At 44.6% G+C, this 14,751-nt stretch overlaps 1 long non-coding RNA gene and 1 pseudogene across 1 annotated transcript in view, besides 2 other annotated features; one reads left to right on the forward strand and one right to left on the reverse strand.

Moving 5' to 3' along the window:
• Window positions 708-2,629, forward strand: KRT18P13 (keratin 18 pseudogene 13; annotated as a pseudogene).
• PTCSC2 (papillary thyroid carcinoma susceptibility candidate 2) overlaps window positions 1,461-14,751 on the reverse strand; it is a 153,456-nt gene continuing 140,165 nt past the window's right edge. Inside the window, exons 10-11 of the long non-coding RNA NR_147055.1 lie at window positions 10,756-10,847; window positions 1,461-1,907 (exon numbers count right to left, since the gene is read on the reverse strand). This is a non-coding gene — a long non-coding RNA (papillary thyroid carcinoma susceptibility candidate 2). The remainder of the gene's footprint in view (window positions 1,908-10,755; window positions 10,848-14,751) is intronic.
• Window positions 5,540-6,739: an enhancer, noted in NCBI's record as "CDK7 strongly-dependent group 2 enhancer chr9:100465986-100467185 (GRCh37/hg19 assembly coordinates)". NCBI's record gives its function as "activates an origin of replication core promoter dependent on BRD2, BRD4, P300/CBP, MED14 and CDK7 cofactors, with strong dependence on CDK7, by STARR-seq in HCT116 cells {active_cell/tissue: HCT116}" and the evidence as "EXISTENCE:reporter gene assay evidence [ECO:0000049][PMID:35650434]".
• Window positions 5,724-5,843: an enhancer, noted in NCBI's record as "active region_28677". NCBI's record gives its function as "activates an Ori minimal core promoter by ATAC-STARR-seq in GM12878 lymphoblastoid cells {active_cell/tissue: GM12878}" and the evidence as "EXISTENCE:reporter gene assay evidence [ECO:0000049][PMID:35858748]".

A 14,751-nucleotide genomic window follows, 5' to 3' on the forward strand; every position in this document is an offset into this window, starting at 1 on the left:
ACCAGAAAACATTAACTTCTAATTACTACATGTACCATTTAGGACTGGCTTTTAGAAAGACAACCTCACACACTGATGTTTCCCACTAATGTTCAATGGTTAACCTTTCAGAAACACAATTCAGTGTTCTAATTTATCGGTCATATATACATAAAGCTGCAAAACCTCGTATAAAGCAGTTACCTGCTGAAATCTTAGGTTGAATTGGAGATAGAATCTCAAGCCATCCCCATCTCCCTTCCCCTCAGATCCTTCTTTCTCCCTACCCATCAATCTTGCCCAGGTGAAACTATTTCAAATTCCATAACATCAAAAGCACAAGCAACAAAAGAAAAAAAGCTGGACTTCATTAAAATTAAAAACTAGGCTGGGCACAGTGGTTCACACCTGTAATCTCAACAGTTTGGGAGGCCAAGGCAGGAGGATGACTTGAGGTCATGAGTTCAAGACAAGCTGAGGCAACACAGTGAGACCCTGTCACTATTAAAAAATAATAATAATTGGCAAGGTGCAGTGGCTCATGTCTGTAATCCCAGCCCTTTGGGAGGCCAACACAGGAGGATTGCTTGAGACCAGGAGTTCAAGACCAACCTGGGCAATGTAACAAGAACCCATCTCAGGAGGTCAAGGCTGCAGTGAGCTGTGATGGCACCACTACACTCCAGCCTGGGCAACACAATAACATCTTGTCTCAAAAAAAAATTAAAGTCGTCGGCAAAGCCTGAGTCCTGTCCTCTCACTCTCCTCCCTGGACAGCATAAGCTTCACCACTCGCTCCACCTTCTCCACCAACTACCGGTCCCTGGGTTCTGTCCAGGCACCCAGCTACGGTGTCCGGCTGGTCAGCAGCATAGCCAGCGTCTGTACAGGCACGGGGGCTCTGGTTCCCGGATCTCCATGTCCCGCTCCACCAGCTACCTGAGCAGCATGGGTTCCGGGGGCCTGGCCGCGGGGATGGCCAGGGGTCTGGCAGGAATGAGAGGCATCCAGAACAAGAAGGAGACCGTGCAAAACCTGAACAACTGCCTGGCCTCCTACCTGGACAGAATGAGGAGCCTGGAGGCCAAGAACTGGAAGCTGGAGAGTAAAATCCAGGAGCACCTGTAGAAGAAGGGACCCCAGGTCAGAGATGAGCCATTACTTCAAGACCATTGAGGGCCTGAGGACTCAGATCTTCACAAATACTGTGGACAATGCCTGCATTGTTCTGCAGATTGACAATGCTGGTCTTGCTGCTGATGACTTTAGAGTCAAGTATGAGACAGAGCTGGCCATGCGCCAGTCTGTGGAGAGCCACATCCATGGGCTCCGGAGGTCACTGATGACACCAGTGTCACTCGGCTGCAGCTGGAGACAGAGATCGAAGCTCTCAAGGAGGAGCTGCTCTTCATGAAGAAGAACCACGAAGAGGAAGTAAAAGTGTTGTACCCGAGCGAGTTAAAAAAACGCCACACTTTGAGATGAATTAAGAGTCCTTTATTAGCCGGCGACCGAGAGACGGCTAACGCTCAAAATTCTCTCGGCCCCGAGGAAGGGGCTTGATTAACTTTTATACCTTGGTTTAGAAAGGGGGGGTCGTCTAGTTAAAACAATTTTACAGAAGTTAAGTAGTCAAAAAGTTAAAAGGATAAATGGTTACAGGAAAGTAAACAGTTCCAGATGCAGGGGCTTTAAGACTATTACAAGGTTATAGATGCAGGGCTTTGGGCGTTATCAAACAGATGAATTCTTGGGGACTGTGGATATAGCTTGCCACAGTATCTTATCAGTTAATTGCATTCTTGGATGTGCTGGGAGTCAGCTTGCACAAGTTAAGTCCTTGAGGAAGGGGCTGCCAGTGAAAGAGCCAAGATGGAGTTTGTCTGGTTCTCTTAGCTAAGGGAGAGTCTGTTCAGGTGGAAACAAGCCTAGGTGAAAAAGGAAAAATGAGGTTGGGCATTACAAAAGGCCTACAAGCCTAGATTGCCAGCTCTGGGTTGACCATGGAGGTAGATGCCCCCAGTCTCGGGACCTTGCCAAGATCATGGCAGACATCCGGCCCCAATATGATGAGCTGGCTCGGAAGAACTGAGAGGAGCTGGACAAATACTGGTCTCAGCAGATTGAGGAGAGCACCTCAGTGGTCACCACGCAGTCCACCGAGGTTGGAGCTGCTGGGATGATGCTCACGGAGCTGAGATGTATAGTCCAGTCCTTGAAGATCAACCTGGACTCCATGAGAAATCTGAAGGCCAGCTTGGAGAACAGCCTGAGGGAGGTCGAGGCCCGCTATGCCTTGCAGAGGGAGCAGCTCAACGGGATCCTGCTGCACCTGGAGTCAGAGCTGGCACAGACCCGGGCAGAGGGACAGTGCCAGGCTCAAGAGTACAAGGCCCTGCTGAACATCAAGGTCAAGCTGGAGGCTGAGAGCACTGCCTACTGCTGCCTGCTGGAGGATGGCAAGGACTTCAATCTTGGTGATGCCCTGGACAGCAGCAACTCCATGCAAACCATCCAAAAGACCACCACCCGCCGGATAGTGGATGGCAAAGTGGTGTCTGACCAACGACACCAAAGTTCTGAGACATTAAGCCAGCAGAAGCAGGGTACACTTTGGGGAGCAGGAGGCCAATAAAAAGTTCAGAGGTCAAAAAAAAATTGAAAACTTTTCTACGTCAAAGAACACTATGAAGAAAATTGGGGTAAAAACCCCACAGAATGGGAGAAAATATTTGCAAATCAGATATCCAATAAGGGTCTAGTATCCAGAATTTATAACAAACACTTTCAGCTCAACAACAGAAAGACAACCCAATTTAAAAATGAGCAAGGGACTTAAATTGACATTTTTCCGAAGAGGATGTACTGATGGCCAACAAACACATGAAAATATATTCATCATTAGTCATTAGGGAAATGCAAATTAAGGCACAGTGAGATACCACTTCACACCTCCAGGCAAGCCTTCCTCCTGTAATTTCAACCCTGCCAACAAACCCCCTCTCTCAGTCCCCCTCCCACCACCATCCCCTCCTCCTTCTCCTTCGGCTCCGCTCCCCCACCCCCTTATCCTGGTCCTCCATCCCAACCTTCCTTCTCCACTGCACACCCGGTCTTGCACCCAACCCCCTTCTGCCAAAGGTCACTCCCACTACCAAAGGTCTTACAAAGTCCTTCCCTTGAGAAAGGTGTTAGGGCCGAAGGCATAGTCCAAGTTCATGTTCCCTTCTCCCTAGCCAACCTCTCCCAGCTTAAAAAGAGACTTAGCTCCTTTTCCACCGACCCCAGCTCCTCCCACAAGGAATTTCTGTATGTCACTGAATCTTATGACCTTACCTGGCATGACGTTTATGTCATCCTCTACTCCTCCCTCATCCCGGATGACAGGGAATGTATCCAGACAACCACCCAGGCCCATGCAGACACCCTCCACCAACAAGATGCTGCCCATAACCTTATAGGGACCCTAGCTGTCCCCAGAACTGACCCCAATTGGGATTATGAAGCAGTTTCCTCAGACAGACAGAAACGAAGCTATATGATATCATGCCTCCTAGCTGGCATGGATAAAGCTGCCCTTAAGGCTGTAAACTCTGAAAAGATAAAAGAAATCACTCAAGGCCCCAATGAAAACCCTGCTCTTTTCTTCTCCCGCATTTCAGAGGCCATAACTAATTATACCACCTTAAGCCCTGATACCAATGGGGGCAGAATCTACCTACCCATTTACACTTCATTTCCCAGTCAGCCCCCAACGTCTGAAAGAAACTTAAAAAACTAGAAGATGGCCCTCAAACCTCCCAAAGAGACTTAATCAAAGTGGCCTTTATGGTCTTTAATGATGATGGCTAGAATTTAAAAAAAGAACAAAAGAAAGAAAAGAAAAGAAGTATTGGCAAAGATGTAAAAAAAATTGGAACCCTCATACATTATTGGTGGGAATGTAAACTAGTGCAGCTGCCACGAAAAACAGTTTGTCCCTCAAAACACGAAACATAGGATTACCATATGAGTCAGTAATTCCACTCATGAGTATGTTCCCACAAGACTAAAAACAGGTGTGTGAAGAAAAACTTGCACACAAACGTTCACGTAGCACTATTCACAATAACCAAAAGCTGGAAACTACCCAACTGCCCATCAACTGATGAATGGATAAACAAAATATAGTATATCCATACAAAGAAATATTATTCAGCCATAAAAAAGAATGAAGTACTGACACATGCCACAACATGGATAAACCTCGAAAATACGATGCTAAGTGAAAGAAGCCAGACATGAAATGCCACAGAGTGTATGATTCCATTTACATGAAACATTCAGAATAAGCAAACCTACAGTGACAGAAAGCAGATTAGTAGTTGTCATGGGCTGAAAGGAAGAGGAACCGGGGAATGAGTGCTTAATAGATAAGGGGTTTCCTTCTGAGACAATAAAAATGTTATGGAACTAGATGGTGGTGATGGTTGCACGACATTGTGAATGTACCACATGTCACTAATGGTCCATTTTATTTTATATATATTGTACCACAATTTAAAAAAAACTCAGTATCTCTCTGGGCTCAGGTAGGTAATAGAAGTTAATGAACCTAGCCCGTTGTGAAACTGAGGCGAACTGGAGTGTGGAGATCTCCCTTAAAGAGGACACCTACTATACAACTCCAGCTGATAGTTTTAAAGAAAGAATTTGGGACCCTTGTTGCCAGATTTTTCAATCTTTCAAGAAAAGCAAAAATCAAATTTGAATGCATGTAGAGGTCTCTTGGTAACTTGTTAAAATGCATATTTTAACTCAGTAGGTCTATGGTAGGACCCAAGAATATGCATTTCTTTTTTTTTTTAGACTTTATCTTTGGAGTAATATTAAGTTCACAGTAAAACTGAGAGTAAGGTACAAAGATTTTCCACATACTCCCTGCTCCCACACATACATATCTTCCCCCATTATTAACGTCCTCAACCAGGGCGGTGCATCTGTTACAACTGATGAAGCTACATTGACACATCATCATCACCCAAAGTCCATAGTTTACATTAGGGCTGTTCTTGGAGTTGTACATTCTGAGTTTGAACAAATGTATAATGGCATGTGTCTACCATTACAGTAAAGAATGTGAGTGTCTAATAAGAAATGCCATTATCTCTGGTGGTGCTACGGCACCACAGATCACACTTGGAATGGTAAGGGTCTAGATTACAGGTTCCCAAACTTGGCTGTACCGGGAAGCACCCAGAGTGTTTAATAAATACCAATGCTTAGGCCCCACCCCCAGGGATTCTGATGTCATGGGGTCAGAGTGAGATCTGAGCATCAGGATTTTGTAAAGCCCCACACCCCCCCCCCACATCATTCTAATGGGCAGCCAAATTTGAGAGCCCGCATACTAGATGGCCCTTATGGACTCCATAGCCCTAATGATCTCTCATGTGGTGAAATATTTCTAGAGGACAAGGTCACAGTTTTCCCCCAAGGTAACCTTTTGAAAATAATTAATCCGGAGAACCTCCTCCCCAACAAAGCATTCCAAGCCTCAATGCTGGAGAATGTGACCTACAGCTCGGATGTTGTATAGGCTCTAGATTCTGTAACTCTTGGCAGCTTTTGTAACTGTGTTCTTCTTTGGCCGGTAACTCCTTCTTTGGTGTACTGACTTTCGTTAGCAAGTTTCGTATAGTTGGGTAAAAATGACTCCTTTGGAGAAAAGAAGAATGCATATAGCCCACAGGGTGACAGAGGCTTGAGGGCTTGCCCAGAGCAAAGCAGCATGAGTCATTTTGGTCAGGGCACAAAAGGGAAACAGGCAAGGAAAATAGAGCAGTAGATGTGTTCTTGAGTCTCCTGATTCAGTCTCGGGGAAACCTGTGACTGCATTTATCTCCCTGCTTTCTACCTCCCTCACCTCCCAAACCAGCTGTGGTCCTGGCTCAAAGAGGAATACTTAACAAAACATAGAAAGAATTGAAAGCCGTCACCGAAGCCTCAAAAAGAGCAGGAAGGTAAGAATGGAGGCCAGAAAGGAGAGTGAGAAACTTGGCAGTGTTTCCTGACAGGGCCTGCTCTCTAAGTGCGTTACCGGGGTGACTCATGCCTGAGATGACAGGGTATGAACACATTTGTCTTTATTATCTAGTAAATAGTACCTGTGTGTGGCTTTCTTTTTTGTTTTTATTTCTCCCCTGGTTCCCTGGGGCTTTACTTCTTAATGTGGTCACTTTGAACATCATTGGCATCAATTCACAACAGGGAAACATCTGTGAGAAGAAACACACCAAGCGGGGAATCTTTCTGGAACAAGGATGCAGCAACACAGAAATTAGCCTGATCCTGTTGCCTTAAGCTGCATTCATGTAGTAATCCAGGAAATGCAGTCTCTTTTTTCTGTGATTGGCCAGACAAATCCTCCTTCTGAAGAAACTTAGATTTCAGCCTCCCCGAACCAAAAGAAAAAAAAGAATTGGGCAAAAACATCATAGTGGAGCATCTATCAACAAAATATGTGCACGGAGAGGTTTCAAAATCATCTTGAAGACTCACAAGAATTGTCTTTCCAAAAGCAGTAAGGAGTAGAAGTGTACAACTGATTCAACTAAGGACAGGGCCATCAGCTCTGGATGCCAAAATCTTCACCACTCACAGACCAGCAAGGGCAGGTCTTCCCACTCGGCATCCCTAGATCCTGAATATGGCCCAGAGGTCTTTAGCTTCCCGTTGCAGCTTTTTGGAAGCCGGACTCTCTCCTCTGGCTGTCCCTGATCCTCCTCTGTGCTGGTGCTGTGGCACTTAGCCCACCAGAAGTGATACCCACCTGCCGTCCTCACTAGCTTTTCAGGTCCTTAAGAGCTAAGGCTGTCTGATTCATCCCAGTATCTCCAGGGCTTAGCATGGTATCCAGCACAGAGTAGCTGCTCAGCAAATGCTTGTGGAGTTAAATAAATTGAATGAATAATACTGAGTAAGACTACTTGCATATCTCTTTAGCACTGACAACTCATAGTCCAAAGCTGCACCCTACAACCGCCTTGTCTCTGCTTGTGTGACTTTGGTGATGGGGAACACTCCACTTGAGAACAAACAACCCATTCTATTGTTGTCTAGCATTGGCCATTATTTATTGTAATAATAACAATAACAATAGCAAACACTTATATGGTACTTACTATAATACTAGGCAGTTTTTAAGCATATTCACCAGTCTCAGTTTAGAGATGAGACGACTAAAGCACAGAGATGCTAAGCAACTTGTTCAAGATCATACAGCTAATAAGTGACAGAGCTGGGTTCAGGCAGGCACAGCCCAGCCCCAGCATTAATAGTCTCAACCACCAAATTATAAGTCTCTAAACTGGAACAAGTCTCCCTCTTACCCTCTTACTTCCTCCACCAGAGATTGTCCTGCATGGGTTAGCACAGAGCTGGAATCAGACCAGGTTCTTGCCAGTACCCTACGTGGCTAACCAGGTGGCTTGAAACAGAGAGGGCATCTCTGCCTCAAGCTTAGTCTTGGAGTTATTGTTGCCCATCATGGGTAGAGCCAAGGGAGGATGAATATGGTCCAGGGTTCACCCATTATGTAGATGAACTCTGGTCATAATGGGGTTATGGTCTTGTGGTTTCCTCCTCTCTTACCCCAAATGGGAGTTTTCCTTTCAATTATCTTTATAACAAGTGTGGTTGCAGCTTCAAACCACAAACCACTAATATTTTTATTGGCAAGTGCATCCTCTAATACGTATAGTTCTGTTGAATGGGTGAAATATTTATCACCAGATGCATTTGTTTTTGTAGTGTTTATAATGCTTGGAAAGGGGCTGAGTGTCTCTGGCCTTAATCCCTTCTTTGGCTCTACTGCCACTGTCCTGGTTTAGCTCCCCCCAAATTTTACCTGTATAGCCTCTGAACTGGTCTCCCAGACTCCAGGCTGACCCCTCTAATCCATCTTCCACATTGGCTTACAGCTCCATCTTTCTAAAGTACAGCTTTTGCCATGCCATTCCTTTGCTCAAAAATCATTTATTGACTCCCAGTTGCAGCTAATTGTAAGTTCCCATCACCTGGTTCCTGTAGCCCTTCAGGAACTTTCCTTCCATAAACCTTTATCATGAACCTTATACATTAGCCACACTGGACAAGTTTGCATTTTCTAGGCCTGTCCTGTGCCCTTCTGTTTCCATGCTTTGCTCATGCTGTTTTCTTTCCCTGTAAATCTTTTGTTTATACATTCACTCATTCTTTCATTCGTATATTCATGCATTCCACAAAGTTTACTATGCACCTTCTTCAAGCCAGGTCCTATGCTGGGAACCAGTAATGAATTAGTCATGGTCCTCCTCTCAAGGAGCTTAAAGTCTAATCTAGACTCCTTCTGGTCATGTCCATGACCACCTGTCACAATCTTATCGGAAAGGATACAATTTCCCTCTCCTCAAAGCCTTTTTCCAATGTTTCAGCTGGAAGTAATCTTTTCCCCCCTCTGAGGCTTATCCCTGGCCCCTCATCCCCATCTTCTAAGGACCCCCATTTTCCAACCTTGCATCTTGTATTATAATGATGCTGATGCTTATTTCCCCTGGATGATACAAGATGTGCCTGGCTTCTTGAGGCAGAATTCCTTTGCATCCAGGGACCAGCAGAGGAGCTGGCCCACAGTGGACTCATATCCAGCCAATGCTGCTGATTGACACTTCATCCACCACTGGTGAGAACACAATTAGAGAGATTACACAGAGCACTCATAAAAGGTAGTGTCTCCCAGCTTTGTTGAGATATAATTCACATACCATACAAATTACCCATTTAAAGTGTACAATTCAATTATTTTCAGTATATTCACAGAGTTGTGCAACCATCGCCTCAATCAATTTTAGAACATGTTCATCACCCCAGAAACAAACCTCATACCCATTAGCAGTCAAACCCCCATTTCCCCTCAAGCCTCCTCAGCCCTGGGCAACCATTAATCTGTTTTCTTTCTCTATAGACAGAAATTGGACTATTCTGGACTTTTCACATAAATAGAATCATGCAATACATGGCCTTTTGTGTCTGGCTTCTTTCACTTAGCGTAATGTTTTCAGGGTTCTTATGTATTGCATGATATTTTGGTTTTTTATTGACAAGCCACATTCCATTATATGGATGTACCATATTTTATTTATCCATTCCTCCACTGATGGACACTGGGTTGTTTTTACTTTTTGGTTATTATGAGTAATGCTGCTGTGAACATCCGTGTAAAAGTTTTTATGTGGATGCATATGATCATTTTAATCAGATATAGAATTTGGAGTGGAATTGCTGGGGAATATTTAACTCCATAACATTCTGAGGAACTGCCAGACTGTTTTCTAAAGTATCTGCACTATTTTACATTCCCACCAGCAGTATATGAGGGTTCCAATTTCTCCAGATTTTTGCCAACACCTATCTTTTTGTTTATAGCCATTCTGTTGGGTGAGAAGTGGTATCTCATGGTGGTTTCAATTTGCATTTCCCTAATGATGAATGATGTTGAGCATCTTTTGAGGTGTATATTGACCATCGGTATATCTTATTTAGAGAATTATGTGTTCAAATCCTTTGTCCATTTTAAAATTGATTCATTTGCCTTTTATTATTGAATTGTAAGTGTTCTTTATATATTCTATATATCACAGGCTTTTTAATTTTTTTCTTTATGCTTTCTCTATTTTCTAAATTTTCTACAATGACTATGAGGTACCTTGATGAGCAGAATGCATAACCAGTATGTACCAACATATATAAAAATGTAGAAACTGTCCTCATCAAATTTATGAATGACATAGAACTGGAAAAGATGACTAATGTGTCTTTTGACAAAATCAAGATCCATTCTTGGAGGAATGGAGCAATGAGTGAAATATAAATTCCTCACTTCAGTTAAAAAATTCTGTAAGGGTGTGATATGGTTTGGCTGTGTCCCCATCCAAATCTCATCTTGAACTGTAGTTCCCATAATCCCCAGGCATCATGGGAGGAACCAGTGGGAGGTAATTGAATCATGGGGACAGGTTTTACCTGGCTGTTCTTGTGCTAGTGCATACGTCTCATGAGATCCGATGGTTTTATAAAGGGCAGTTCCCCTACACATGCTCTCTTGCCTACCGCCATGTAAGAGGTGCCAATGCTCCTCTTTCACCTTCTGTCATGACTGTGAGGCCTCCCAGCCATGTGAAACTGTGAGTCCATTGAACCTCTTTAATTTTTATAAATTACCCAGGCTCAGGTATTTCTTTATAGCAATATGAGAATGGAGTAATACAGGGTATATGAGGAAAGGGTCTCTTTCTGCATGTGTGGGAAGCGGCCTTAGATGACCTCAGGACAATGTTCAACCTTCAGTGTCTATGATTTTCATGTTAGGTAGGGGTAGATCACTATTGAGAAGGGCTCATAAAATAATCTGATGGCCTTGGTGTCCTACAAGCTAAGTGGAAACCAACAGTGTGACATGGCTTCTGAAAAGAGATGGTGTGACCTGAGGTGACAAGAACAAAAGCAGGGCCTGAACTGAGGGAGGTGTTTGTCCCGCTGTTTGGGGCTGCTTAAACCACATCTGGAGCTTGTGTTCAGATCTAGACACCACCAGGGAATCAGAGAGCCATCTATGTGGCCAGGACGGGGAGGGAAGAGTTAAGAAACCCTATCACAGGAAGAAAGTGCAGATTCATGACCAGGCACTGCATCTCCAAAGGGCTCCTCTAGGGCAGAGGGCATAGATATGGTCTGCCAGGACTTTATGCTCTCACTTACCTGGACATTCACAGTGGTCTGCCTGGGCAGGATTTCTTCTCCCTTCAGACCATGAGACCCAGGACTGCTCCACGTCCCCCATCTCTCAGAAGCTAAAGACGGAAGCAGCAACAGGGTGAGAATCTGACCTGAGGTCCACACTGCAGAGATAAGAAGGTGCCAAAGACTCTACTGGCTAGCAAACTCAGGATGCTGTGGAGTCCAAGCTGGTAATAAAAGCAAGTCAGGTGTTTGCCTTTAAAATGTATAGAAATGTCTTTATTTACACAAACAAATACATTGTACTCAATTTTTCTTTTTCCTCCTGTTAAAATTTCTCTTTTCCTTTGAAAAAAACTTCAGGCCAGGCACGGTGACTCATGCCTGTAATTCCAGCATTTTGGGACGCTGAGGTGGTAGGATCCCTTGAGCCCAGGAGTTCAAGACCAGCCTGGGCAACACAGGGAGACCCTGCCTCTGGAAAAAAATAGTGTAAAAATTAGCCAGGTGTGGTGGTGTGTGCCTGTAGTCCCAGCTACTCTTATTTGTTTTTACAATAAGAAAAACAACAGCACATGTGTGAGGCGAAGTAACCTCTGCTGGTCATCCTCAGTGCTGGGGGACAACGCAGAGGGGAGGGGCAGCAGTGACCGGCTGCAGCAGGCCCAGTGAGGCCGTCTCCCACTTTGTTAAAGAGGAGTTAGAAATCTGGATTTTAATGTGAAATCTTCCAGTTTCTAAATGTTTACACCAATGTTTAAAAACACACACAGGCGGCCAGGTGCGGTGGCTCACGCCTGTAATCCCAGCACTTTGGGAGGCCAAGGCAGGCAGATCACGAGGTCAGGAGTTGGAGACCATCCTGGCCAGCATGGTGAAACCTCATCTCTACTAAAAATACAAAAATTAGCTGCTGTGGTGGCACGCACCTGTAATCCCAACTACTTGGGAGGCTGAGGCAGGAGAATCGCTTGAACCAGGGAAGCGGAGGTTGCAGTGAGCCGAGATTGCGCCACTGCACTCGAGCCTGGCAACAGAGTGAGCCTCCGTCTCAAAAAAACAAAACAAAACACACATAGGCTCTAAATCCCCTTTCAACAACTCCACTGAAGTCTTCTCAACTTGCTTACATATCCCTGGGATGTGGAGTTCACCCCCACGGTAGAAGCCTTCTCTATCTGTGGACTGCTCTGATCCATAGAAATGGATTCCTCAAATTAAATTGGGATCAATCTCTTTATAGTACAACTGCAAAACCACCCCTGACCTGCACAGCCTCTGCCATTAGTCCTCACGCCAGTGTCTAGACCACTCCATTCATTCATTCATTCACTCACACATTTACTCCTAGGGCTCGGTTGCACAGCATCATTGAATCAAGTGGATTAAATGTGTTTTCTGCATCTCTGAGTCCCTTGGAACCTCCTAACCACATACGCCTGGGTACAGAGAAAGGCCCAGAGACACCCTAGGTCCCCTCCTAGCGCCCCTTCTGGAGGAAGGCTACCACAGGGAAGAAGTTTCCTTGGGCACTTTGTATGTCACTTTCCTTCTGGGAAGCAGCCTGGCACGGTGAACAGCAAGCATGGGGTTTACTGGACTTGTGGCCCTGAGCAAGCCACTGATGTCCCAGCCTAGGCCTGCCCACATGTTCAGTAGAAGTGCTGACACAGAGGAGCGGAAGAAACAGGGCTGGGTTTGAATCCAGGCTCAATCAACTTGAGCGGATTATTTAATATGTATGAGCCTCAATTTCATCCTCTATAAAGTTGGGATAAAACTGCCTACTCTCCAGGCCTGTTCTTTGCATTCAAAATTAGAAATAAATTTGCACGTTGAATGTCCTGCTCAGCAGATGCCCAGGAAGAGGGGCAGTGATTGTCATTGTTACTGATAGCCAGTAGAGGGCACCAAACCATTCTTTAATGAAAGCGGCCTCGGTTGTCCTGGCCACAAATGCAAGAAAGCCTTTACACCCCAGGCTGCAGGAGGTTCCCTAAGTATGTAGGTTATTCATACACACGCTCCTTTTTTATTGGAAAGTTAGAAATTGCACTACATTGTACCTTGGGGGTGAAGGTGACATTAACAAAAGCAGTTTGGAGTAGTGGAAAGGATACTCCAAAGGGGAAGGCTTGCAGGATGTGGGTTCTTGCCCTTGCCCTAGCCCTTGTGCTGTGTGACCCAGACACAGCCTGTGTCTGGACCCCCTCTTGTAGCCTGAGAGGGTCGGACCAGGAGATCTCTAAGGGACACTCCAGCTGTCTATGATTAAGATTCTGGGACAAATAAATGTCATGAGGCAGCAGGTGGGGGGACTGGGTGGGGGGACATGGAGTAAATGACCTCTGGATGCCCTCACTGGGGCTGGGACTTGATGATTTGTACACAGTCAAGGGAAGCCACATACAGGCTAATCTTGGCCTCACAAAGGAGTGTGGTTAGAGTTGTTGGGTGGTGGCGATGTTTTCCTGCAAGCGCACACGATGTTTATCGTCTTCGTACAGGTTGATGCTGAAGCCACGAAGACCACCCAGCCTGACAAAGAAAGGAATTCTTGTCTGCGGTTGACAGCCCTCAGGTTGACGGCTTTCCATTTGCCCCCCGAGGCTGTCACTCGCAGAACAATGGCAACAAGCAGGGTGGCTCTCACCTGAGACTGGCGCTGCCGCCAGAGGAGGGGGCAGGCCAGAATGGAATGGGGAGGTGTTGTTTCTCCTCCCAGGATAGGAAGGTTATAGGATCACTCCTGCCTACAGCGGACATGCTTGGAGAGTCTGTGGAGGATTATTTTCGTGTGGATGGTGTCTCATCCCATAGATCAGAAAGCGGGAAGTAGTTAAGATGTTACTCTTCATTTAAAAAAATTATAATGAACTACGGATACACATAAAAACATAAATAAATCTCAAAAGCATTATATTGAGCAAAATAGGCCATATATAAAAAGAGTACGAACTGTACAATTTCTATTTCTTCAAAGGACGCAAAACTAAGCTACAGTGATAGAAACTGGGTCAATGGTTGCCTCCTTAGGCAAGGGGAGGGTTGACTACAAAGGCTGAGAAGGAACTTTCTAGGGGATGAAAACATTCTAGGTTTCGACTGAGCGATGACATGGATATATACACATTTGTAACTCATTGAACAATGCACTTAAAAATCAGTGTATTTTACCGTTTGCAAATTATACCTCAGTAACACTGATAAAAACTGCACTACAAAAAAAGTTATAATGACTTTTCTCATTCTCAAAAGAAATACATGTTCGTACTAGAAGACTGAAAAAATCAGATTTAAAAAAAAAAAAATTAGCCAGGCACGATGGCTCATGCCTGTGATCCCAGCACTTTGGGAGGCTGTGGGGGTAGAATTTCCTGAGTCTTGGAGTTTGAGACCAGCCTGGGCAACATGGCGAGACCCCCAACCCATCTCTACAAAAAATTTAAAAATCAGTCAGGTGCAGTGGTGTACACCTGTAGTCCCAGCTACTCATGAGGTTAAGGTGGGAAGATTGCTTGAGCCCAGGAGTTCCAGGCTGCAGTGAGCTGTGATCACACCACTGCACTCCAGCCTGGGTGACAGAGCTAGACCCTGTCTTAAAAATAAACAAATAAATAAAAATAAAATAAAATAATCCATAATTCCATTACCCAGAGGTAAACATAGTTATCATTTTATATTGATAGTGCCAGTCCTTTATTTTCAGAAAAATGAGATTATACAGTTTTATAGTCTGATTTATTTATGCATTGAATTGGCAATACATATACACAGTTAAATCTTCAGAAGGTACAAAACAGCATAAAGCAAACTTGTCCATCCCACAGCCATGGGCCACATATGGCCCAGGATAGCTTTGAATGCGGCCCAGCACATATTCGTAAACTTTCTTTAAACATTATGAAAATTTTTTGCAATTTTTTAAAGCTCATCAGCTATCATTAGTGTTAATGTATTTTATGTGTGGCCCAAGACGATTCTTATTCTTCCAGTGTGGCCCAGGGAAGCCAAAAG

This window comes from Homo sapiens, chromosome 9, assembly GCF_000001405.40.
Source record: "Homo sapiens chromosome 9, GRCh38.p14 Primary Assembly".
In the NCBI taxonomy this organism is placed as follows: Eukaryota; Metazoa; Chordata; class Mammalia; order Primates; family Hominidae; genus Homo; species Homo sapiens.